The 26,111-nt window shown below is 37.2% G+C and overlaps 1 protein-coding gene across 5 annotated transcripts in view; it reads left to right on the top strand.

Moving 5' to 3' along the window:
• ZNF624 (zinc finger protein 624) overlaps positions 1-26,111 on the top strand; it is a 39,604-nt gene that overhangs the window by 1,092 nt on the left and 12,401 nt on the right. For 3 of the 5 annotated variants that reach the window (XM_047436461.1, NM_020787.4, XM_006721562.5), the window contains exons 2-5: positions 3,013-3,101; positions 5,365-5,430; positions 18,003-18,129; positions 18,802-18,897. In XM_047436461.1, coding sequence (XP_047292417.1) covers positions 3,015-3,101; positions 5,365-5,430; positions 18,003-18,129; positions 18,802-18,897 — 376 coding nt within the window. In that variant the 5' untranslated portion in view covers positions 3,013-3,014. The remainder of the gene's footprint in view (positions 1-3,012; positions 3,102-5,364; positions 5,431-18,002; positions 18,130-18,801; positions 18,898-26,111) is intronic. The other 2 variants (XM_011523970.3, XM_047436460.1) reach the window with 1 other exon arrangement.

The raw sequence follows: 26,111 nt of genomic DNA, 5'->3' as shown, positions 1-26,111 counted from the left end.
GATACTTCTTCTTGTCTGCTTGGAGAGTACAGAAAAGCAGAAAGAAGGGTAAACATCACAGCCCCAGGTCTCAGAGGTCTCAGTAGAGTTTTGGGTTACTCAGTCTTTTTTTCTATGCATTACATTTGCACAATTGAGATCAAGCTGAATATATTAAATGTTAAATATTGTTTATTCTAATTATAAAATAAAACAAGGGATTTATTGTAGTTTGGTTGTTAAACATATGTTACGAGCATAATCTACATAATCTACATAAAGTATTGCCAAAGAGTTTATTAATATTTACAAATATTTTAAAAATGATGACTCAGCTCACTCTTGATAAATGTTAAAGATGCAGAAAACCATTACTCTAGACCTTCGGAATTGAAAATGCCTTATGTTGCTCTTTGTAGGTCTGCTTTAGTGTTCGGGGGTTGCGGGATGGGGCAATATTCTTGGCTCATTTTTTTTCTTTGCAACCTTGTAAAACTTGGGGGTCAGTGTATGGGCTTGGGAGGGAGAGTCAGTTTTCAAGCTCTCTGAAGTAATATGCAACATCATATATGCATGTGCATTATTTTGTGGACAAGGTCAGATTCTCAGATGGGTCCGTACCCCCCCAAAAATTAAGATTTACTGGTATGCATAGATTGTGTAGTGGTGAGATCAGGGCTTTCAGGGTATCTGTCCCTAGAATAACGTACATTATACCCATTAAGTAATTCCTTATTCTCCACCCCCCTCCCACTCCTTCACCCTTCAGAATCCCTATTGTGTAACAGGCAATATTTCTTAAAATATTACACTAAAACTAAAACATTATATAATTTAACATTATATAATTAACATGTTAACATTATATTAAACTAAATATTTCTTAAGGTGTACTTGTTCAAGCTGTATATTTCTGTGCCTCACATCTAGAGATCCTGATTTTGATCTTGGATGGGGCCAAATAATTTCCTTTTTAATAAGCATATCCAGTGAGTTTTTTGCATTCTCAGATTTGAGACCCCTCTAGTTATACATGTGGCGTTTTCATTAGAAAACAGGAGAGGAGTCATAATTTTCATTAGATTTGCAAAAGGCTCTATGACAGAAAAATCTAGAGAAACACTGGCATAAGGCAAAACCACTTACTGGTTACCTTGAGGCTTCAATACAGGAATCCCCTCAGACTATTCTTTCTTTACCTCTTTTATCTCCACACTGTACCGCTTTCCTCCCTCAACTTCTCATTGTTTCTCTTCCACCAAAACCTTTTCATTGTGCCTAGGAAAGCCCCAGTGTCATGAAACAGGTCACTCTACATTTTTAAGATACTCACTTTTTTTTTTTTTTTTTGAGATGGAGTCTCGCTGTGTCGCCCAGGCAGGAGTGCAGTGACACAATCTCTGCTCACTGCAACCTCCACCTCCCAAGTTCAAGCAATTCTAGTGCCTCAGCCTCCCGAGTAGCTGGGACTACAGGCGTGCACCACCACACCTGGCTGATCATTTTGTATTTTTTAGTAGAGTCAGGGTTTCACCGTGTCAGCCAGGCTGGTCTCAAACTCCTGACCTCAGGTGCTCTGCCCGCCTCGGCCTCCCAAAGTGCTGGGATTACAGGTATGAGCCACCATGCCCAGCCAAGATATTTACATATTTTCTTGATTTAACTAACCCTGGTCTCCTCCTTGAGTTAATACATTAATCTGACAGTATATGTTTCAGTATACCCATATCTAGTTAATTTTTATATCTCTAATATTCTTTGCATTCTTGATAACCTTGCTTTATATATTCTTGTTTTTCAGAGAATAATGGTTAAGTACTTCAAGTATCTTTTCAGATGAGCTTCTGATTGTTAGACACTGTAAGGTTAGATTAAGTTCTGCTATGTTTATTGAGCAAAGCTACTGAACGTTATGAGAAGCAAGGTGCACATTCAGGGAAGGAGCAGATTCCACATGTTTAAGCATAACAAAGGCCCTACTTGCAGGACCATATAATTGCTTATAACACTTTTTGTACAAAAACTTAATACTTATTATGTCACTGCCCTCATGAATAAAGATTCATGAGGCTAGTATTACCATCCTAGAAGAATTTATATTGACAATCTGTACTGTTTGATATCCTACATCAGGCACTCCTGGTTCTTGAACCAAACTCAGCCTCAGCAAGGCCATACATATCATTAGCCAAAGGTAGAAAAGCAGGGCCCAAGCATCCCTGGAAAAGATCTCTGCCACCCTGTTGCTCCATAGGATAAAACTTTTATTAGGTATATACTTTTTTTTCAATATAAAAAGACTATAGCTTAATGCTTTGTGCACTGAATTTCATGTCTCTTCTATTATTATTATTATTATTATTATTATACCTGCTTCCTTTTTGTTTAAGTTTGCCTGATATAGAAAGGATAAAGATCTATTTGAATATCAGATTCGGAGGGGTAAATCAAGATTTCCAATATCATTTAAATTTTGAAGTCGTAGTGTTCTCTTTACATGAAACAGATCTCTGAAAATGTTAGGAAATAGACTCTTCGTGGGAAAGGCAAGAAAAGGAGATTCTTAGAATATTTAATTGTTAGATGAGTAAGTGATTGTGGCAAAGAAAGACTGAAGTATTTTTTTTCGTACTTCACACAGCATGTTGATTCAGTGGAAAAGGTATGGGCTTTGGAATTAGATTGATTTGGGGTCATGTATCTGCATGGCCTTGGGTACTTTAATTTTTTTAGGTTCAGTTTCCTCATCTATGGAATGGGAATATTATTCCTACTAGGTTGATGTGAAAATAAAATGAGAAAGTATTTTAAAACCTCCTTGTACAATGGCTAGCCTGTTAGTTGTGACTATAGTTAACAGTGCTAAAATCTTGAGCTCTGCCGGAGCAAGGGTCTTTGTCCCTCACTGATCTTAAGGGTTACTCTTGTGCTTCCTTAGGGAGGTCATGCTCACTTGTATGTCAGGATTCCAACTTGGTGAGTCTGAAATTCCCCAGGCAGGATTGGTTTCCATGGCTTATTTCTCTTCCTTAGGTATGTCTTTGCAAGACTCCACTCTTTCCAGAGAGGGGAAACCAGAGGGAGAGATTATGGCTGCTGTGTTTTTCTCAGTTGGACGCCTGGTAAGTTGGGATTCCCTGTTTTTGACCTACTATCTTGGTTTGAGAGCATGTTTACTTTGCCTGAAGGCTTGCGACTTCTCTACTTCCCCCGACACCCCTTCTGGGAACTCAACTAAATAGACCCATGAAAATTGGGTTCACAGTAAGGGTAGTAAACTATGGGACGATTCACTATACTTACTTAACCAAATATCAGGACACATGATCTTTCAAAAAATATCTGAGCTGTCGTTAGTTATGACAGGCATCTTTAATTTTGATATTAAATTTGTATTGTTCCCAGGAAATTTTAGTTATTTGTGGGACAGCAAAATGGAATATTTTTCAATTGGAAAATTTTATATAGGAAATTATGGGGAAAATATATGTACACAAACACATACCCCAGCCCTGATTCACAGGAACCATTCCCCTTGTGCCACTCTCAGTGATCTCTTTTCTACTCATTAAGAAGTGATTAGATTTAATAGATTACATTGAGAGAATATGTTTAAGACAGTGCTTGGCTCTAGGGAATTTACAGTTTCATTGAGGTAAAATGTACAAAAGTAATAATTACATTATTTGGGTGAACAGTAGTTGCTTATCGGTATGATAAAGATGAGTGCTATGTAAAGAAAGAAATGGGATGATAGTGTGGGCTAAACTGGTCATAGAAAGTTCATAAGGATAGTTAGATTTAAGCTGGTACTGAATTACAAGTGAGATTTTAATTGTCATAAAGTATTTATGAAGATAGTTCAGGTGAGAAACGGGTTTAAGGGCAAGGCTTCAGAGGCAGAGAACAGTGGGTGAGCTTGTGATTCAAGTTGGAAAGTTGTGACAGATAGGGCTGGAAGTTAGATATTTAAGATGAATCTTTTAATGTTTCCCTGAAGACATTTAAATGTGTGTGTGTGTGTGTTTGAGTGTCCTTGGGATTATTATTAATGTGATAAAAGCTGTGTTTTAGCAGTGACTTTAAAATAGATTCAGAAGAAAGAGAATACCAACAAATATAATTTGTTATAGTAATGATCTGTAATAACCCGTGATTGTGGTCTTTTATTCTTTGTAGCCAGAATATGTAACATGTAAATAGTCCTTTAAAATACCCTTGAAAAGATAAATAAAACCAAAATGTTGCCCTTGATCACCAGGTATAACCATATTTGTCTAATCGTGTATCACGGGATCAACCCGTCTCTATCAGAGATAGAAGATTCACATCATCATTAATTTTCTGGAATCTGAATATTTGTGCATTTTTAGACAAGATGTTGTTGAGGGAGAGTTAGCATAACATTTTTTCATAGTGATCTTTATGTAGTTTTATTATCCATAATTTTTTTAAATGGCACAGCATCTGAAATGGATAACTACAACTAGAAGGTAAAGTAAAATTTCATTGCATTCATAAAATCAGGCCCTCATGGGCTGGGCGCAGTGGCTCATGCCTGCAATCCTAGCACTTTGGGAGGCTGAGGTGGGCAGATTATCTGAGCCCAGGAGTTCAAGACCAGCCTGGGCAACATGGTGAAACTCTGTCTCCACAAAAAAAAAAGAGTACAAAAAATTAGCCGGACATGGTGGTGTGTGCCTATAGTCCCAGCTACTCAGGAGGCTGAGACAGGAGAATCACTTGAACCTGGGAGGCAGAGGTTGCAGTGAGCCAAGATCGCCCCACTGCACTCCAGCCTGGGCAGCGACAGAGTAAGACTCTGTCTCAAAAAAAATAAAAAATAAAAATAAAAATAAATAAATAAATAAGGCCCTCATGGAGATACAGTTTCTAAGTTTTGGAAGAAAACAATGTTATGAGAGGTTGCTGAAATATTTCCTGAGTGACTGTTGAGCCACATCCCCCCACCAAACACTGTAATGATTTTTCAATTGTAGAAAACAGATAGTGTTAGTAGGTTTTGAGTGTTATTCTTGAGCAAGATAGATACTTTCTGAGAAATAGATTTCATCCCAATATGAAAAAGTAGAATTATGTAGTGTCTGAAGGCACTTTATTATAAGTTTATTTTTGTTTTGATAGGTTCTTTTTTAAAAGCAGTTATATCTTTTTCAATCTTACGTGTGTTTGTCATTGTCCCAAACAAAGTGAAAGATTATGATTGCATGTTACAATGGGACTTTGATTTCAGCCCTAAGTAAAACAGTAGGTGAGGTCATCCTGTATACACTGCATCCACAGTGGATTGGTGGTGCTTGTTGAGGCTCTGCTGTAAGTCATAGGCAGCCTATCACTGAATGATCTTATCCTGTATCCCATCAGAGCCCTGAAGTTACCCAGCCAGATGAAGATCTTCACCTTCAGGCAGAAGAAACACAATTGGTAAAGGTAATACCTACTGTTGTACATATAATGAATACAGAGAAAATGCCTATTTTACTGCCTCTGATTCTCAATGTTCCCAGTTAATTGCAAGTTCACAATGATTATTTGATTGGTGTGGTAGCCCCAGGGCTGGTGGCATCAATTTAACAGATTTCATTTCTCTCAGAGGTGGCAGCCGTAATCTAGCCAGATAGTCACATCGTGATTACTAATGGTAAAATATCCTATCATTACGTAGTCTGAAGCTTGTGCTGCATTGTAAGACCCAATACTGTGCCATTAAAAAATACCAAGAGTACATCAACATTGTGGAAATAGTGTTAAGATGAGTTTAAATTGGTTTAGATATTTTATTTCTTCAGGATTTCTTATATGTGAGTAGTGAATCCACTTCATTTTTCCAGAAAAAATAAAAATCAGAAATTTGTTGTGATAAGAAAAATTATCCAAAACTTAGAAATAAATAAAAGATAAATGTAGGCCATTTCAGAGTCATATTAGACCATTGTCTTAACAAGCCTGTCTAAGGGTTATCTGACATAGCAGGGGAGGGTTATGTTGTTTGACTTACCATTTACTATTAATTAATATTTAGATCCTAAAAGTTAGATATTAACTTGTAGAAGATTGAAACATTGCAATTATTTTTGCTAGGATAAAAGATAATCCCCAAAGTTATGGTATTACTGTCCTGTAGGACATTAACCAGGTTTGTATCCAATTTTGCAGTCTTATTCCAGCATTCTTTTTTCCACTATCTGTACATCGGTTTCTTGCATCTCCTTTAAACCTGTCTTGTCAAGCTTCTGATCCCTCATTAATGACTTATGTAAATCTTTGGCAAGTATTCACTATGCTTTTAGAAGAATTATGTTTTTAAGTTTTTTAAAATTATCCTTTGAAAGTTGGTTTTATTCCAGAGATGTTTTTTGTAAAATGTGGTTTTTACTTTTGCTTCTATGAGAAAATACATTCTGAGATTCAGTTTTATACATAGTATTTTTGAAATGATTTTTTAAATTCTTTTTAACATACGATAGCTTAGATTCTTAAAAACTTAGAGTAGAAATATTCATAGTTTTAGACTTTGAACCATAAACCTTAGAAAATGCCATACTTTTTGACATGGTGTACAATTCATATGGTTTATTTTTGTTCTGACAAAGGGAGTCCCTGGTAGAAGATTAATTCTGTCTGGCTCTTCCCTAAATTCTGCATCCTTTTTATTATACATACTAAACATAGCTTAGTTTAATTTTACTTTTAATAGAACCAGTGATTTGATAATAACTATCAATAAGTTATTAATTTAATTTAATTGGTTTTGTATTTGCTTGATTTTCTTATAACTATTGCTGACATTTTCTTTTTTTTTTTTTTTTTTTTGAGATGGAGTCTCGCTCTGTCACCCAGGCACAGTGGCACAATCTTGGCTCACTGCAACCTCTGCCTCCCGGGTACAAGCGATTCTCCTGCCTCAGCCTCCCGAGTAGCCGGGATTACAGGGACCTACTACCACGGGCGGCTAATTTTTGTATTTTCAGTATAGATGGGGTTTTACCATGTCAGTCAGACTGGTCTTGAACTCCTGACCTCAGGTGACCTGCCTGCCTCAGCCTCCCAAAATGCTGGGATTACAGGCATGAGCCACTGCGCCCGGCTGACATTTTCAATTAGTGTTTTGTTTTTTTTTTTTTTGTAGCGTAGTCCTTTAAAAGAAGAAATTTCAGTGCTAAATGTCTTTTATTTTACAGGTACATGTTTTTTAGTACAAACGTCTAACAAAGAAACTATAGAAGATTGATGAAGAACTCTTATTGCATGATTATTATAATCAGACCAAAAGGAACACATCAAGACAAAGAGTCTTGATATTTTCTGAGTATCATAGTGCCAGTATATATGTTGTAACTTTTGGTAAACAACTTAATTTACCAACAACAAACAACTAGATAAGCATAGCCTCAAGATGAAGAGGAGATAATAAGCCTTTAAAAGCCTCCCAGTAACCGGGACTAGGCACCCACCACCATGTCCGGCTAATTTTTGTATTTTTAGTGTACGGGGTTTCACCGTGTTGGCCAGACTGGTCTTCAACTCCTGAACTCAAGTGATCTGCCCACCTCAGCCTCCCAAAGTGCTGGGATTACAGGCATGAGCCATGGCACCCAGCTGGGTTATTATATAATCTTGACGAAGGAGGGAATTCTGATGAAATTTTAATGAGATCAGGGATGTGATAGGCTTACAGCAAAATAGGCTCTGTATAAAAGAGTCAATACCATGTCCAGACTGCATAATGGATCTGGAGTCCTATTTCCTTGGAAAATACAAAGTTAAATGTAAAATGACATATTCAGAAACCCCTCATGTGAAAGTCTGCATCTGGGTTGCAAATAACTGCTTCTCAGCATCAAAGTCACTTTCATTCTTTCTGATGTGATTTCAGACTACACAATTTCTGACAGTCTATGACTTTAAAAGATGAGGTGTCTAATGAGTAAGAAAGCAGTAGTTGCTCAAAACGGGTAATTATGACATTTTACAGCTGCAGAATGACTTTAGAAGAAATATTGTTTGCCGTTAACTTGTCAGTTGGTTTTATCTGTATCTCTATTCTAGCTTGAGGTGTGGAAGGGCAGAATTTTACTTTCTCAGTATAAGCTAATTTTTACTTTCTCGAACTCTATCAAAAAGAAACTTTTACATCAGTCTGGCTTAATGTTATTTGCCCAGTGTCTTTGAGGTAGAGAATATGAGGCTTATGATTTCTGGTTTCCATTGTATGCATCAGTGTATTATCTTAGAATCAACAATTTTTGGGTATTATATATTAGGTTTCCAATTTTATTTGTCTAAATTATGAATAGAGTTGGTCTGGGATGGTGAAATTTGAAATAAATGGGTACTCTTTTAGCTCCCTAGGAACTTTTTGCAATAAAAATAAAACTTTAGTTATAGTAATAGTTTCTTCAGTTTGACAAAGTTCAGTTTCTGAATAAAGGATACTTAAGTGAATTTACTTTCACAAGATCAAAATGCCCTCAACATTCTTAGAAGTTGTTTTAGTGTGTTTGTTGCCATATAAAGGCATACCCAAGAGTGGGTAATTTATAAAGAAAAGGGGTTTATTTGGCTCACAGTTCTGCAGTTTGTACAAGAAGCATACTGCCAGTATCTGCATCTTGTGAGGGCCTCAGGCTGCTTCCATTCACAGTGAAAAGGAAAGAGAGACAGTGTGTATAGAGACTACATAGCAAGAGAGGGAGAGGGGAGGGGCCATGCTCTTTTTAACAGCCAGCTTTCATGGGAACTACTAATAATAGAGGGAGAACTCACTCATTACCATGAGGATGGCACCAAGGCATTCATGAGGGATCCAGCCCCATGACACAAACACCTCCCATTAGGCCCCATCTCCAACATGGGGATCAGTTTTGAACATGAGGTTTTGGGGGAAGGCATCCAAACTGTCGCAGCAGTTTTATGTTTCAAAGTTAACTCACACTTCTACATTCTACAATCAATTTTTCATTCGTTCTTCACACAACACAAACCTTTGATTTTTTATGATTATTTATTTACCTGATTTTCCCCTGGGAGGGAAGAAAAAGATTGTCCTTCTGGCAGTATTTTTAATGACACTTTACTAAGATGTAATTAATATATCATAAAATTCATAAAGTATACATTTCAGTGGTTTTTAAATATATTCACAGAGTTTGTAACCATCACTGTATGGAATTACAGAACATTCCATCACCCTGAAAAAGAAACCCCATACCCACTAGCAGTACTCTCCATTCCCCCTCCTTACAGCCTCTGACAACCACTAATCTTTTCATCTGTATAGATTTGCCTATTCTGGACATTTCATATAAATGAAATGATATAATATGTTGTCCTTGGTGACTGCTTTCATTTTAGCATAATATTTTCAAGGTTTATGTGTGTTGTAGCATGTGTCAGTACTTTATTCCTTTTTATGGCCAAATAATATTCCAGTTGTATGGATATAGCTTATCCATATCACTTATCCGTTTGTCAGTTGATGAGTATTTGAGTTGTTTCCACTTTGGGGCAATTAATAATGATGCTAATACATTTGTGTATACGTTTTTGTGTGAGCATGTGTTTTCATTTCTCTTGGTATATACCTAGGGTTGGAATTTTGCTGGATCATATGATAATTCTATGTTAAACCATTTGGAGAACTGTCAGATTGTTTTACAAAGCAGCTGCCCCATATTACATTCCCACCAGCAACGTATGAGTGTTGCAGTTGCTCTACTTCTTCAACAACGCTTGATATTGTCTGGCTTTTTTGATTATACACATCTTATTGGGTGTGAAGTGGTAGCTTACTGTATCTTAGAGACTTTATTTCCCTAATTACTAAGAACTTCCAGCATCTTCTCTTGAGCATACTTATTGGCCACTTGTATATCTCCTTTGGAGAAATATCTATTCAAGTCCTTTGCCCATTTTTTATTGGGTTATTTGTCCTTTTATGTTTGACTTGTAAGGGTTCTTTATATGTTCTAAATACAAATCCCTTTTCAGATAAATGGTTTGTAAATATTTTCTTACATTCTTCGGTTGGCTTTTTGAGTTTTTGATGATGTCCTTTGAAGCACAGAAGTTTTTAATTTTAATGAAGTCCTAATGATCTCTTCTTGTCTTTTGTCTAGTGTGCTTTTGGTGTCATATCTAATAATTCATTACCAAATCGGAGGTCATGAAGATGTTCCTCTGTCTTTCCTTCTAACAGTTTTATAGTTTAGTTCTTACATTTAGGTCTATAGTCCATTTTGAGTTAAGTTTTGTTTATGGTCTGAGGTAGAGATTCAGCTTCATTCTTTGGCATGTGAATATTCAGTTGTCTCAGCACTGTTTGTTGAAAAGACTATTCTCTACTCATTGTCTTAGTACCCTTATTAAAAATCAACTGACCATTAATGTAGGGATTTATTCCTAGACTGTCAGTTCTATTCCATTGATGTAAATGTCTATCCTAATGTCAGTACCATACTGTCTTGAGCACTGTAGCTTTGAACTAAGTTTTGGAAATACCTTTGAAGTACGTTTTGAAATTAGGAGGTATGAGTGCCTCACCTTTCTTCTTTTTCAGTATTGTTTTAAAAAAACAAATTCACTTCCAAATGAATTTTAGGATCAGCTTTTCCATTTCAGGAAAAAAAAAGCCAGATGGAATTTTTATAAGTCTTATGTTGAATCTGTTGATCAATTTGGAGAGTAATGCTATATTCGCAAGATTAAGTCTTCCATACTTGAACATCGATTGTCCTCCCATTTATTTATGTATTCTTTAGTTTCTTTCAGTTTTGTAGTTTTATAGTTTTCAGTGTGCATGTTTTACACATCTTTTGTTAAAACTTCATTCCTGTGTTTTCTTATTTTTGCTATTATAAATGAATTTTTTCTTAATTTCCTTTTGAAATAGTTATTGATAGTGTATACAGATAATTGACTTAAACACACACATATAGATCTTGTATCCTGAACCTTGCTGAACTAGGTTATTCTAATAGAACTAAATTGTTTGTGTATATGTGGATTTATTAGGGTTTTATATGCAAGATAACATTAACTGTATAGAGAGATTATATCATTTGCAAATCAAAATTTGCTTTCTCCTTTCCTGTCTGGGTACCTTGTATTTCTTTTCCTTTTCAAATTTCCCTTGCAAAATGTACGATATAATGTTGAATAGAAGTGAGAAGGAATGTCTGGGCATGGTGGCCCATGCCTGTAATCCCAGCACTTTAGGAGGCTGAGGTGGGTGGATCACTTGAGGCCAGGAGTTCGAGACTAGCCTGGCCAACATGGTGAAACCCTGTCTCTACTAAAAAATACAAAAATTAGCCAGGCATGGTGGCACACACCTGTAATCCCGGCTACTTGGGATGCTGAGACGGGAGGATCCCTTGAACTGGGGAGGTGGAGGTTGCAATGAGCCAAAATTGCACCACTGTACTCCAGCCTGGGCGATGAGCAAGATCCTGTATCCAAAAAAAAAGAGAGAGAGAGAGAAAGAAAGAAAAAGAAAAGTGAGAAGGGACATTGTTGTCTTTGTGATCTCAGGAAGAATGCATTCAGCTGTTTACCATTAAGTATGAGGCTAGATGTAGGTTTTCATAGAGAGTCTTTATCAGGTTGATGATGTTTGCTTCTATTTTTAGTTTGTTGAATTTTGTCAAATACATATTTGAATCTATTAAGATGATGTGCAGTTGTTGTTCTTTGTTCTATTGATTGATTTTTTTGATATTACATAAACCTTGTATTCCTAAGATAATTCCCATTTGGCTGTAGTATATGTGGCATTTTAGTTGTTGCTGAATCCACTTTGTTAGTATTTTGTTGAGAATTTTGTGTCCATATTCATAAGGATGCTGGTCTGTGGTGTTCTTCTGAGGTCTTTGTCTAGTTTTGGTAATATTGGTCTCATAAAGTGGGTTTGGAATTTTTCCCTTCCATTTTTTGGAAGAGTTAGTGAAGGATTGGTATTAATTCTTCTTGAAATGTTTGGTATAATTCACATGAAACCATTTGAACCTAGGCTTTTCTTTGTGGGAAGTGTACTTGTTATAGATCTATCCAGATTTTCTGTACACTGAGTCAGTTTTGGTAGTTAATGCCTTTCTACGAATTTGTCCATTTCATCTAAGTTCGCATACCATGGTTCATAGTGTTCCTTTATAATCCTCTTATTTCTTTAAGGTCAGTAGGAATGTCTTCTTTTTCATTCTGATTTTAGTAATTTGTGTCTTCTCTCTTTTTTTTCTTAGTCACTCTAGCTAAGGGTTTGCCATTTTTTTATCTTTCCAAATAACCAATTTTTGCCCTTTTTTATTTCCTCTGCTGTTTTTCTGTTCTCTATTTTATTTCCATTCTAATATTTATTATTTTCTTCCTTCAGCTTCCTAAAAAATTTAGTTCACTCTTCCTTCTCTAGTTCCTTAAGGTATAAATTTAGGTTACTGATTTCTTCTTTTTAAATTGTAGGCATTTTATAGCTATAAATTTCCCTCTGAGCACTGTTTTCACTTTGTCCAGCTACTACCGTTGAATTATCTCTTTGCCCCTTCAATTTTATAAATTTTTACTTCTTGTCTTATGGGACTCTTTTGTTAGGTGAGTATATGTTTAAATTTGTTATGTCTCACTGGTACATTTATTTCAGTTATTATACTTTTCAACTCTAAAATTTCTATTTAGTGAAATATCATTCTCACAATTTCTTTTAAATCTTTATACATGGTTTTCTTTAGGTCTTTGAACATATTTATAATAGCTGCCTTAATGTCTTTGTTTAATAAGTACAATGTCTTGACTTCCTCGGAGGTAATTTCCATTGATGCTTTATTTTTTACTGTGTATGGGTCCATGCTTTCGTGTTTCTTTGTGTGTCTTATAATTTTTTGTTGAAAACCAGCTAGTTATTTTAAATAATATAATGTGGCAACTCTGGAAATCAGATTCTCCCCTCTCTGGGGTTTGTTGTTGCAGTTGTTGCTGGTGCTGTTGCTTTGTTTAGAAACTTTCCTGGACCAATCTGTAAAGTCTGTATTCTTTATCATGTATAGCCACTAAAATATCTGCTTGGTTAACATGGTGATAGTTAATGATTAGACAGATTTCTTTTTGCCTTAAACCAGTAAGTCTTCAGCGACTGCCAAAGGGGCCTTTGTATGTGTTGGGCATACATTTCCCTCTTAGGCAGGCAGGTTGCAACTCTGCCTTAGTCATTTCTTGCTTGTACAGAGCCTCAAGGTAAGCTATAGATGAGAGATGAGGGCCTTCTCAGATTTTTTCCTGGGGCTGAGTTCTTGGTGAAGAAAGAAAACAAAACCCAGTACATTGGTTACAGACACATGTCAAGTGATTAACAATAAAGTTTATGAACTCAACATGTCCTACATTCGCCATGTCTTATTATTAGCAGAATTATCTAAAACAAGCTTCAAAAACCTAAAGGTTCAAAACTACAAAGGGATATATATATACATAAGACATGTATGACAAGCATACATATCTAAATGGTAGAAAAACACCCCAGAGGAAATCTTTCTTCTGATCCAGAACAGACCTTAGCCAAATATGATCTAAGTTGACTTCTTTGCCTGAGTAGTCAGCTAATCAGGGCTCTTAGTTTACTAGATCATGGATCAGAATGATTACAAGGTTACAAGCTGGAATTCTCAATATAGACTGCTTGGATTTGAATCTAGATTCTTCTGCTTCTTTGACTTTGGGCAAGACATCTAACATCTCTGTGCCTCACTTTCCTTATTTGTAAATAGCACCTTCCTTATTGTGATGATTCATTCAGTACATTATAAGCCCTTAGAGCAGTCTCTGATACATAATAAGCATTATACTCACAGAAGTGGGGAGAGTAGTTTACATCCCTTAAACCTGTTCCCCCTCTTTTTATTTTATTTTATTATTGTTATACTTTAAGTTTTAGGGTACATGTGCACGATGTGCAGGTTTGTTACATATGTATACATGTGCCATGTTGGTGTGCTGCACCCATTAAGTCGTCATTTAGCATTAGGCATATCTCCTAATGCTATCCCTCCCCCAACCCCACAACAGTCCCCCGGAGTGTGATGTTCCCCTTCCTGTGTCCATGTGTTCTCATTGTTCAATTCCCACCTATGAGTGAGAACATTCAGTGTTTGGTTTTTTGTCCTTGCGATAGTTTGCTGAGAATGATGGTTTCCAGTTTCATCCATGTCCCTACAAAGGACATGAACTCTTCATTTTTTATGGCTGCATAGTATTCCATGGTGTATATGTGCCACATTTTCTTAATCCAGTCTATCGTTGTTGGACATTTGGGTTGGTTCCAAGTCTGCTATTGTGAGTAGTGCCGCAGTAAACATACGTGTGCATGTGTCTTTACAGCAGCATGATTTATAATCCTTTGGGTATATACCCAGTCATGGGATGGCTGGGTCAAATGGTATTTCTAGTTCTAGATCCCTGAGGAATCGCCACACTGACTTCCACAATGGTTGAACTAGTTTCCGGTCCCACCAACAGTGTAAAAGTGTTCCTATTTCTCCACATCCTCTCCAGCACCTGTTGTTTCCTGACTTTTTAATGATCGCCATCCTAACTGGTGTGAGATGGTATCTCATTGTGGTTTTGATTTGCATTTCTCTGATGGCCAGTGATGATGAGCATTTTTTCATGTGTTTTTTGGCTGCATAAATGTCTTCTTTTGAGAAGTGTCTGTTCATATCCTTTGCCCACCTTTTGATGGGGTTGTTTTTTTCTTGTAAATTTGTTTGAGTTCATTGTAGATTCTGGATATTAGCCCTTTGTCAGATGAGTAGGTTGCAAAAATTTTCTCCCATTTTGTAGGTTGCCTGTTCACTCTGATGGTAGTTTCTTTTGCTGTGCAGAAGCTCTTTAGTTGAATTAGATCCCATTTGTCAATTTTGGCTTTTGTTGCCATTGCTTTTGGTGTTTTAGACATGAAGTCCTTGCCCATGCCTATGTCCTGAATGGTATTGCCTAGGTTTTCTTCTAGGGTTTTCATGGTTTTAAGCCTAACATGTAAGTCTTTAATCCATCTTGAATTAATTTTTGTATAAGGTGTAAGGAAGGGATCCAGTTTCAGCTTTCTACATATGGCCAGCCAGTTTTCCGAGCACCATTTTTTAAATATGGAATCCTTTCCCCATTTCTTGTTTTTGTCAGGTTTGTCAAAGATCAGATGGTTGTAGATATGTGGCATTATTTCTGAGGGCTCTGTTCTGTTCCATTGATCTATATCTCTGTTTTGGTACCAGTACCATGCTGTTTTGGTTACTGTAGCCTTGTAGTATAGTTTGAAGTCAGGTAGCGCGATGCCTCCAGCTTTGTTCTTTTGGCTTAGGATTGACTTAGCGATGTGGGCTCTTTTTTGGCTCCATATGAACTTTAAAGTAGTTTTTTCCAATTCTGTGAAGAAAGTCATTGGTAGCTTGATGGGGGTGGCGTTGAATCTATAAATTACCTTGGGCAGTATGGCCATTTTCACGATATTGGTTCTTCCTACCCATGAGCATGGAATGTTCTTCCATTTGTATCTCTTTTATTTCATTGAGCAGTGGTTTGTAGTTCTCCTTGAAGAGGTCCTTCACATCCCTTGTAAGTTGGATTCCTAGGTATTTTATTCTCTTTGAAACAATTGTGAATGTGAGTTCACTCATGATTTGGTTCTCTGTTTGTCTGTTATTGGTGTATAAGAATGCTAGTGATTTTTATTTCCTTCTCCTGCCTAATTGCCCTGGCCAGAACTTCCAACACTATGTTGGTTCTGTTTATATGCTGGATTACATTTATTGATTTGCACATGTTGAACCAGCAAAAACTGGAAACATTCCCTTTGAAAACTGGCACAAGACAGGGATGCCCTCTCTCACCACTCCTATTCAACACTGCACCCGGCTGAGATTTTGATTTTTTTTTTTTTTGAGACGGAGTCTCTCTTCGTGTACCAGGCTGGAGTGCAGTGGCGCAATCTCGGCTCACTGCAAGCTCCGCCTCCCAGGTTCATGCCATTCTCCTGCCTCAGCCTCCCTAGTAGCTGGGACTACAGGCACCCGCCACCACACCCGGCTAATTTTTTGTATTTTTAGTTGAGATGGGGTTTCACCGTGTTAGCCAGAATGGTCTCGATCTCCTGACCTCGTGATCCGCCCGCCTTGGCCTCCTAAAGTGCTGGGATTACAGGCATGAGCCACGGCGCCCGGCCCTGAGATTTTTGATTTTTAAAATATTTTCAGCAATGTCATTGCATATTGCTGGTATATACCACTAGAAGACATATACTAGCTAACTGAGGCCTTTCTTTTATGTTAGCAGCTGCTGATGATTCTTTAATTCATTAGTAGTTGCAAATTGTGATGTTCTAATTCTTTTGTTCCTTCTTCATTCATTAGCTAAAATACTTCCATAAAGAGAAACCTTCCCTCAGCAACTATTTAATTATGTTTGATTACAATACAAACTATATGTACTTTGCATAGGTAAGAAAGGACAAAAGTTTGATTCTTTCTCTTTACTTACCAGTTTCCAGGTATTCTCCAAAGATAATAGATGAGATTTTTAAAATAATGTATCATGAATGTAACTGTATTAGATGCTTTTGAAATCCATTGCAGTTATTATCCTTATTGATGCTCAAATTGTCATATCATTGGCCAGTGGAAGCCTCTTCAAGTTGTCTCCTGTGTCTTAGATATGACCCTAGTAGTCTTTCATAGCTTCCTTGCTTTTTAATATGTCAGGGTATTCTAGGCCCTGGTTCCTTTTAGGGGGAAGTAATATTTAGAGCCCACAGTCTGGCTTGCATAGTGCCACCTTATTGGTTATGGTTTCTGGGCCTTTTCAGTGGCTGAAGCTAGGAAATGTGTTTTTTTTTTTTTTTCTCTTAAAATGCTTCATGAATCTCTAGTGATACTTCCTATTCAAACTCAGAACTATGGAGTTTTTAACCTCATCTCATCAATATTACATTTCTATCTTCTTTCTCCCATGCCAAATATATTAGTTATCAATGATGTCAGTATGCTAATTTGCTTTATCAAGCACTACACGCACAGCAGTTAAACAATAACATGTCTGTCACTGTAATTAATATGATTATTTACTGAAAACATTGTGGTTTTGTTTTTATTTTGCAGTTATTTTTCTCAGGGTATATCTTGTGCAATGTATACAGAAAAATTACTGTTTCAAAGTCACTCAAAATAGTTCCTCTCTAATGAGTGAGTATGCTACCAGCTGGTTTCATGTTACTCTTAATTTTCAGGGATTTTTTTTTTAATTTTTTATTTCATTTATAATATATTTACATGGTTCAAAAGTCAAGTCTACAAAACAAATATTCAAAGGAGTCTAGCTGTCATTCCAGTCCGCTCTACTCCCTCTTTTCTCCGATAGGTAACATTGAAAATGTTTATGGCCTGTTCTTCCATTTTTTAATACATATACATATCCAGACCAAAGAACTTACCCAAAGTTCCTCGATTTTTTTTATTTTTCTTTTTCAAAGAGAAAGCTTATAATATTCTATATCCACAATACAAATGATAAAATGTATCTTTTAGTAAGTCATAGTCTATAGATTAGAACTGAAAGAAAATTGATATTTTAGATAAGCCAGGGTTTTAAGGAAGAAAGATGATTTGGATGGAAACTGCTGGCTGTTATCAAGTATTTTAAATACTTTCTAGGGAAGGAGGAAACCGTGCTGTTTGACTCCAGATAATATAGTGGAGCCAATATTTATAATTTATAGGAAGCCAGACTTGGTCTGAAAAGAAATTCTGCTATCAGATGAAACTCTGAAGATGATATAGGCAGCATATTATGGTTTCAAGTTCTTGTCACTGGAGAGATTTATACATCCTATAAAGGATGAACTGGTTGACCTACATGATCATTTGGTGATTCTGGTTTCTGGGGCTCTTCCCCAGTTTTTTATGTATAATTCTGCCTAACAAGTCTAATTGTATAGTTTCTAAGTGATCACAATGTAATTGTTTTAGGAATCGGTGACATTTAAGGATGTGGCTATAGACTTCACATTGGAGGAGTGGAGGTTGATGGACCCTACACAGAGGAACCTGCACAAGGATGTGATGCTAGAGAATTACAGGAATCTGGTCTCCCTGGGTAAGGATAACTTCTCTTCTGTGTTGATTGATCTGCCCATTTGACCAGGTTTGCCAAAGATAAAGGGCCTCTAAAGTACTTAACTGAAGTACTTGATTTTAGGGGCACATTGTTGGGTTATGCTATTCCTCACTCTTAACTACATGATCTGCCCATTGTAGAGTAAGAAACACACATTTCACTGGAATCTTGGAGATTGTTGACAACCCCACAGATTTTGGACCAAAGTTTTTTCTAGTCACTGCCTTAAATGGAAGTTATCAGTACCTCTAGAAGAAAGAAACAAATGTATTCAATTTCTTTCTAAACTCAGTTTATTTCCACAATCTATTATCCCACCAAACCAGAATCATAGCATTGAGTTCCTTTGAGATGTCTTTGTAATTGTCTAAAACATCACTGTACAATATGGCAGGTACTAGTCACTTGTGGCTTTTGAGCACTTGAAATTTGGCTAGTCCATCTGAAGAACTGAATTTTAGATTTTACTTGATTTTATTTAAATTCAAATTTAAATAGCCATATGTGACAATTGGCAACTGTATCAGACAGTGCAGCTCTAGAACTTCCTGTAATGGTCATTCTGCCCAGAAGATTAAGAACTGAGACTGAATTTGGCAGGAGTTCTTGCTCATGGCTCCAATCAAATCCTATTTATTTTTCTCTGGACAGGGCTTGCAGTTTCCAAACCAGACATGATATCTCATTTGGAGAATGGGAAAGGACCATGGGTGACGGTGAGAGAAATTTCAAGAATTCCCTATCCTGGTGAGTTAAACAGAACCAAGAAGATGGGATTTATTTGAAGTAACAGACTATAGGGGGATGTTCACCAGAACATCTGAAATAATTTTGAAGATATATTTGTTCAACGCTGTCTCAGAGGAAGAGATCCCCCATCTCACTGCCTGTCCCTCTCACCCCCATCTTCTCTCTCCCTCTCTCTCTGTCCTCCACTTTTGGGAAACATCTCATCCTATTCTGCTTTCCTGGGGACGTGCTTTTCGTAATTATTATTTTATTTCTTCTTCATTCAAACTTGCATAAAATATCCCTTTCAGGTCTGTCTTCTCCAGTTAACTTCATGTTTCTCATTTGTTTCATTATCTGACATTTCTTCCCTCATTTACCTGAAAATGCTTCCATAAGGGTCCCCACTGATTTCTCTTAAGGCAAACTTATTTACTCATTATTTAGTTTTCTTCACCTGCAAGGCTACAGAAACTTTGGAGGAACCCACCACCTCTCCTCCAGGTTTTTAACTAATTGCTAATACAAACAAGGAAGCAGTTGAGAATCAAAATATAGTATTGATGTATTTAATCAATATTATACATCTATATACTGTGAACTGGCTTAGGTACAAGGGCTATAGCAGCTAATAAAATGGACCAGGTCCCTGCCTTCATGAAGATTAAATTTTGAGAAATAGATAATTTGGCAAACAAATAAAAACAAACTAAAATGGTGGTTGCCATACCTCCCAGCTATGAGATAAATTGGAGGATAAGAAAGAGTAACTGGGGTGGGATGAGGACACCTGCTTCAAACAGGGTGGTCAGGGGAGCTTCTGAAGAGGTGACATTTAAGCCGAGACCTGAAGGGTCAGAAGAAGAAAACAGTAAGGGGAAGAGGAAAAGAGAAGTATTCCAGGCTAAGGGAACAACAATGCAAAGGATCTGATACAGCAGAGAATGCCATGTGTTCTGGAAATCAAAAGGAAGCTGCTGTGACTAAAGTGAGGGGAAACTGGTACAGAATAAGATTAGAGATGTAGCAGCCTGCCTGTGCAGGGCTTTGTAGATGATCTAAGTGAGTTCCAAAGCATGGAGAGATTCTACTGCAGGGTTTTTAGAAAATAACCCTGTTTATAGAGATTGAACTTGAGGCATAAAGCAGGCAGTAAGTTAAAAGGTTGTTACAATAGTCTATCCAGGAGATGATAGTAACTTTGATTAGGGTGATGGTAGTGGAGATGGAAAGAAATAGATTCTGGTTCATTTAAGCATTCATTTTATTATGATGCCATGAACAATCCACACATGAATTACGTATTTTTATATATCAGATATTATTTATACTTAAAAGAGTGAGTGAAAAGTAGACATTAGAGATAGTTTTAGATAACTTTTTAGAGAGGGATTTTTTTTCCCCTACGAAGAGGGAAAGAGAAATGGAGCAGTGGCTAAAGGAAAGAATGGAGTCAAGAAAAAATACTTGTTTTATTTTTGAAATGGGAGCTGCTATGACATGTTTGAGTGCTGATAGGATTGCCTTAATGGAGAGAGAGACATTGATGTTGCAAGACAAAGACGAAGGACTAAAGTGTTTGACAGGGTTAAAGGAGATAAAATCTAGAAAGGAAAGGGGGATTTACCTTGAATAGGTACAGAGGTCACCTCCTGTGTTGTAATACTGAGAAAGGTGGAGAAGATGGGTGCACCTGCATGTCAGTTGAGGGCAGGAAGATTGAGGCCACTATTATGATAGCTGCCATAGTTTCTAAAATGTGAGGCAAGATCATTAGCTTATGGTGAGGGAAGAAAAAATTGTGAGAGAGGGAAAGTTATTTTTTATGGTAGTGGAATTCACCAGGGAAGCCATCTTGGCCTGAAGCTTTTATTGGGAAAAGTGTTTAATTATAGCCTCTATGCCTTTAGTACTTAGGACTGTTCATATTTCCTTTTTCTTTTTGTTTCAGTTTAGCAAATTATGTTTAGGGATTGTTCCGTTTAATCTAATTTTAAAATTTATTGGCATACTATCGGTTTATCATTTAAATGTTTGTATGGATCTGAAGTGATGTGCCACTTCTTATTCCTGATACTGGTTTTTTGTGTTTTCTTTATTTTGTCTTACTCAGTCTTGCTAGAGTTTATCAATCTTACTTGACTCTTTTTTTTCTTTGAGACAGGGTCTCATTCTATCACCCAGGCTGGAATGCAGTGGTGTGATCATAGCTCACTGCAGTCTCAAACTCCTGGGCTCAAGTGATCCTCCTGCCTCATCCTCCTACATAGCTGGGAGTAGAGGCACACACCACCACACCTAAGATTTTTATTTTTTGTAGAGGAAGGGGTCTCACTATGTTGACCAAGCTGTTCTCGAACTCCTGGGCTCAAGCTATCCTCCCACCTCGTCCTCCCAAATTGCTGGGATTTCAGGTGTGAGTCACCATGCCTGACATTACTTGGCTTTTAAAAACATTACTGTTTTTAGTCCTTTTTCTTGTATGTTTGAGTTTTATTACTTTCTGTTCTTTATTATTTTATTCCATTCTTAGAGCTTAATTTGTGGATCTTTTCTAACCTCTTGAATTAGGTACTTAGATCGTTGATTTTCAGCTGTTCTTCTTTTCTAATTGTTTAGGGCTATCAGAACTATATCACACTTTTTTATGTAGCATCTTCATAATTTTTGAGTGGAAAATATTTTATAATTTCTATTGTGATATCTTTTATCCTTGGGTTATTTTTAAATGTTTTTCTTAATTTTGTGCCATTTGGGAATTTTCTAGCAATCTTGTTGACTTTAATTCTACTATGGTCAGACAGGATGCTCTGAATTATGTCAGTCTTTGCAGAATTTTGTAAACATTTTGTGCTCTTGAAAAAATGTACAGCCTATAGGTAGGTATTGAGTATTGAGTACAATTTCTAGATGTGTCAGGAGATTAAGTTTGTTAATTATGTTAAAATCTGTATACTTACAGCTTATTCTATCAATTGAGAAAGATTTTTTAAAGTCTGCTAGTGAGACTATACATTTGCTTCCTATTTAGTTCATTTAATTTTTTTCTTTCTGTATTTGAAGCTGTGTTATTATGTAAATACAAAGTTATAATTGTTATCTGTATGGTAAATTGGCTTTTGTCGTTATGAAGTATCTCATTTCTTAAAAGTTTTTGCCTTAAAATCTGTTTTGTCTGATACTAATATTACTACAGCATCTTTCTTTTGGTTGTTATTTGTATAGTATATCTTTTTTCATCTGCTAACTTTCACTTTCTGTGTATTCTTGTACTTTTTGTCTTTATTTTTAAGGTAGTATATTGTTAATTTTTTATTTTTTTGAGACTGAGTTTCACTCTCGTCGCCCAGGCTGGAGTGCAATGGCGTGATCTCGGCTCACTGCAAACTCTGCCTCCCAGGTTCAAGCGATTCTACTCGCTCAGCCTCTTCAGTAGCTGGGATTACAGGCATGCACCACCATGCCCAGCTAATTTTTGTATTTTCAGTAGAGATGGGGTTTCACCATGTTGGCTAGGTTGGTCTGGATCTCTTGATCTCAGGTGATCCACCCACCTCGGCCTCCCAAAGCGCTGGGATTACAAGCAATAGCCACCACGCACAGCCTCTTCTCTTTTTTTTTTCTAAAAATATCTTCATTTGGCCTTCATTTTGGGAGGATATTTTTGGTAAGTTTGAAATTTTAGATTGGCAGTTATATTCTTTCAACATTTCAAAGGTATCATTTATTGTTTTCTGTCTTATGTACAATCTGTGGAGAAGTGAACCATCTGTCTAAACTTTTCTATAAAAGGCAGGGCAGCAATATTTTTGGCTTTGTTGGATCATAAGGACTCTCTGCTGTGACTACTCCACTCTGCCATTGTAGCACCAAGGAATCCATAGGCAACATATTAACCAAGTAATGTGGTTGTGCTCCACTAAAACTTCACTTATGGACTCTGAAATTTGAATTTCATACATTTTTAATGTCTCACATTCTTTTAATATATTTTTCAACCATTTTAAATGTAAAAATTGGCCAGGCGTGGTGACTCATGCTTGTAATCCCAGCACTTTGGTAGGCCAAGGCAGGCACTGGAGGCCAGGAGTTTGAGACCAGCCTGGGCAACATGGTGAAACCCCGTCTCTACTAAAAATACAAATTTTAGCTAGGCATGGTGGCACTGGCCTGTAATCCCAGCTACTCGGAAGGCAGAGGCACAAGAATCACTTGAACCCAGGAGGCGGAGGTTGCAATGAGCTGAGATTGCCCACTGCACTCCAGCCTGGGTAACAGAGTGAGACTCGGTCTCAAAATAAGTAAGTAAGTAAGTAAATAAATAAATAAAAATAAATATAAAAATCATTCTTATCTTGCTGGCTATACAGAAACAGATGATGGGCCAAATTGGTTATAATTTGTAACCTCTGATCTAATTGTTGCTCATTAAAGGACATCTATCTGTCTTTGGCCAGGTGTTGGGAGGCTGAGGTGGGTGGATCATTTGGGGTCAGGCGTTCAAGACCAGCATGGGAAACATGGCAAAACCCCATCTCTACTAAAAATACAAAAATTAGCCGGGCGTTGTGGCACAGACTTGTAATCCAATCCACTGCACTCCAGCCTGGGTGACAGAGCAAGACACTGTTTAAAAAAAAAAAGAGAGAGAGACAGATTTTTTTTTTTTTTTTTTTTTTTTTGAGATGGAGTCTCGCTCTGTCGCCCAGGCTGGAGTGCAGTGACGTGATCTCGGCTCACTGCAACCTCTGCCTCCTGGTTTCAGGTAATTCTCCTGCCTCAGCCTCCTGAGTAGCTGCGACTACAGGCACCTGCCACCACGCTCAGCTAATTTTTGTATTTTTAGTAGAGATGGGGTCTCGCCACATTGGCCAGGCTGGTCTCGAACTCTGACCTCAGGGGATCTGCCCATCTTGGCTTCCCAAAGTGCTGGGATTACAGGTGTGAGCCACTGTGCCCTTCCCTGTCTCTCTTTTTTTGGCTGCTTTTAAGAGTTTAGTTTTCAACGGTTTTACTACTGTGTACTTTAATATAGTTTTCTTCATATTTCTCATGCTGAAGATTCATTTGGCTTCTAAGACTTGTGACTTGATTTTTTTTTTTTATCTCTTGTGGAAAATTCTAAGACATTATTTCTTTGACTTAGCTTCTGTCCATTCTCTCTCACTTCTCTTTGTAACCTTCTAGGACTCTGGTTACATCTGTGATAGACCTTTTCACCCTATCCTGGATGTCTCTTCTGCTTTTCTAACGTTTGCAAGTTTTTCATCATTTTGTGTTTCAGTATGGATACTTTGTACTGACCTATCTTCCATTTCCCTAACTCTCTCATGTGCTGTCTCTATTGTGCTCTTAGCCCATAGTTTGAGTTAAGTTACTATATTTATTTTTCAGTTCTAGAATTTTCATTTGGTTATTTTATACTTTACAAATCTTTGTGAGATTGTTAATCTTATGTTCTTGAATATAGTTATCCTAGTTATTTTAAAGTTTATGTCTGAGGCCTCAATTATTTGGATTCATTTTAGATCTGTTTCTGTATATTTGTTTTCTCTCTTGATTTTTTTCCCATGTGACTTTTGATTTTTGTCTCCCTTTTTTTTGGGGTCGGGGGAGGCAGACAGAGTCTCGCTCTTTTACCCAGGCTGGAGTGCAGTGGCGCAATCTCAGTTCACTGCAACCTCCACCTCCCAAGTTCAAGTGATTCTCCTGCTTCAGCCTCCTGAGTAGCTGGGACTACAGGCATGCACCACCATGCCTGGCCAATTTTTTTGTATTTTTTAGTAGAGATGGGGTTTTGCCATGTTGCCCAGTCTGGTCTCGAACTCCTGGCCTCAGGTGATCTGCCCTTGTTGGCCTTTCAAAGTGCTGGGATTACAAGATGTGAGCCACTATGCCCAGCGTGGTCTCCTTTTATGCCTGTTATTTTTTACTGGGTATCAGGCATTGACTATGAAAATCTATAGTAATATTAGGAGGTTCTAGATTATGTAATCTTTCCCACAGAGGATTAATGTTTGCTTTTGCCAGACTGCTAGGCTAGGGACTATAACAATCTTCATTCACTTTAATTCAATGAGAAATTTAAATGAGGTGGGTTTTAGTCCTTCAGCCAGCCGATCTATTTCTTAGTCGTTCTATTTGTAGGGCTTATCACCTTAAGGTTCCAGCCAAACCCTAGTTGTTCCAGAATTGTCCTCCTTAATGGACCTAAATCCGTCTCTGTCTTTCTTGCCCTATGACTTTATTAAGAGTTCTGCTTACTTATTCAGCCTCTCAGTCATTTCTTAGAGAATTAACAGGCATTTGAAGGGGAAAATGGCACCAAATACCAGGATTGTTTTTCTGGGTTTCATTCTTCTCCTTGTAATTTGTTAAGTCTTTCTAGCTTTCAGATGCTTTCAAACAGACTGTTCTTTTGTCCAACATTTCAAATTGTTCTCAGCAATAAAGTTGGTCCAAATGACTTCCTCTGACATCCCCAAAGTGCAGACCTCTCAAATATAAAAGTTTTTATTCTGTTTTTTATGCTTGTTGTCTGGGAGTAACATTTTACTTTCACTCAAGAAAGATGAGAATTTAGTGCATATAAATTAAGTTTCTACAAATAAATTTATTGAAGAAAATTTCTAATTACTAATATAACAACAACCTTTATGTACTCTAAGCTTTTATAATTTTAGTGCATTTTGCAGCAAATTTTTCTGCTTTCCAACTTCATATTCTTTTGACCTTTTAAATTTAATATTAGTTTCTGAATTCCAAATTGGTGCTATAGATATGTTTTATATAGCTTTTCTTCTTCTTTTTTATTTATTTATTTATTTGAGATGGAGTCTCTCTTGTCTCCCAGGCTGAGTGCAGTGGCGTGATCTCGGCTCACTGCAACCTCCGCCTCCTGGGTTCAAGCAATTCTTCTGCCTCAGCCTCCCGAGTAGCTGGGATTATAAGCGTGTGCCACCACACCCAGCTAATTTTTGTGTTTAGTTGAGACGGGGTTTCACCATGTTGGCCAGGCTGGTCTAGAACTGCTGATGTCAGGTAATCCGCCCACCTTGGCCTCCCAGACTGCTAGGATTACAGGCGTGAGCCACTGTGCCCGGCCTTCATTTATTTATTTATTTATTTGAGACAGGGTTTCACTTTGTCACCCAGGCTGTAGTGCAGTGATGCAATCATAGCTCACTGCAGCCTCAACTTCCTGGGCTCAGGGGATCCTCCAGCTTCAGCCT

Source organism: Homo sapiens, chromosome 17 (assembly GCF_000001405.40).
Source record: "Homo sapiens chromosome 17, GRCh38.p14 Primary Assembly".
NCBI lineage: Eukaryota > Metazoa > Chordata > Mammalia > Primates > Hominidae > Homo > Homo sapiens.
Note: the sequence above shows the minus strand (reverse complement) of the source record. Positions and strands in the feature narration are given on the sequence as shown.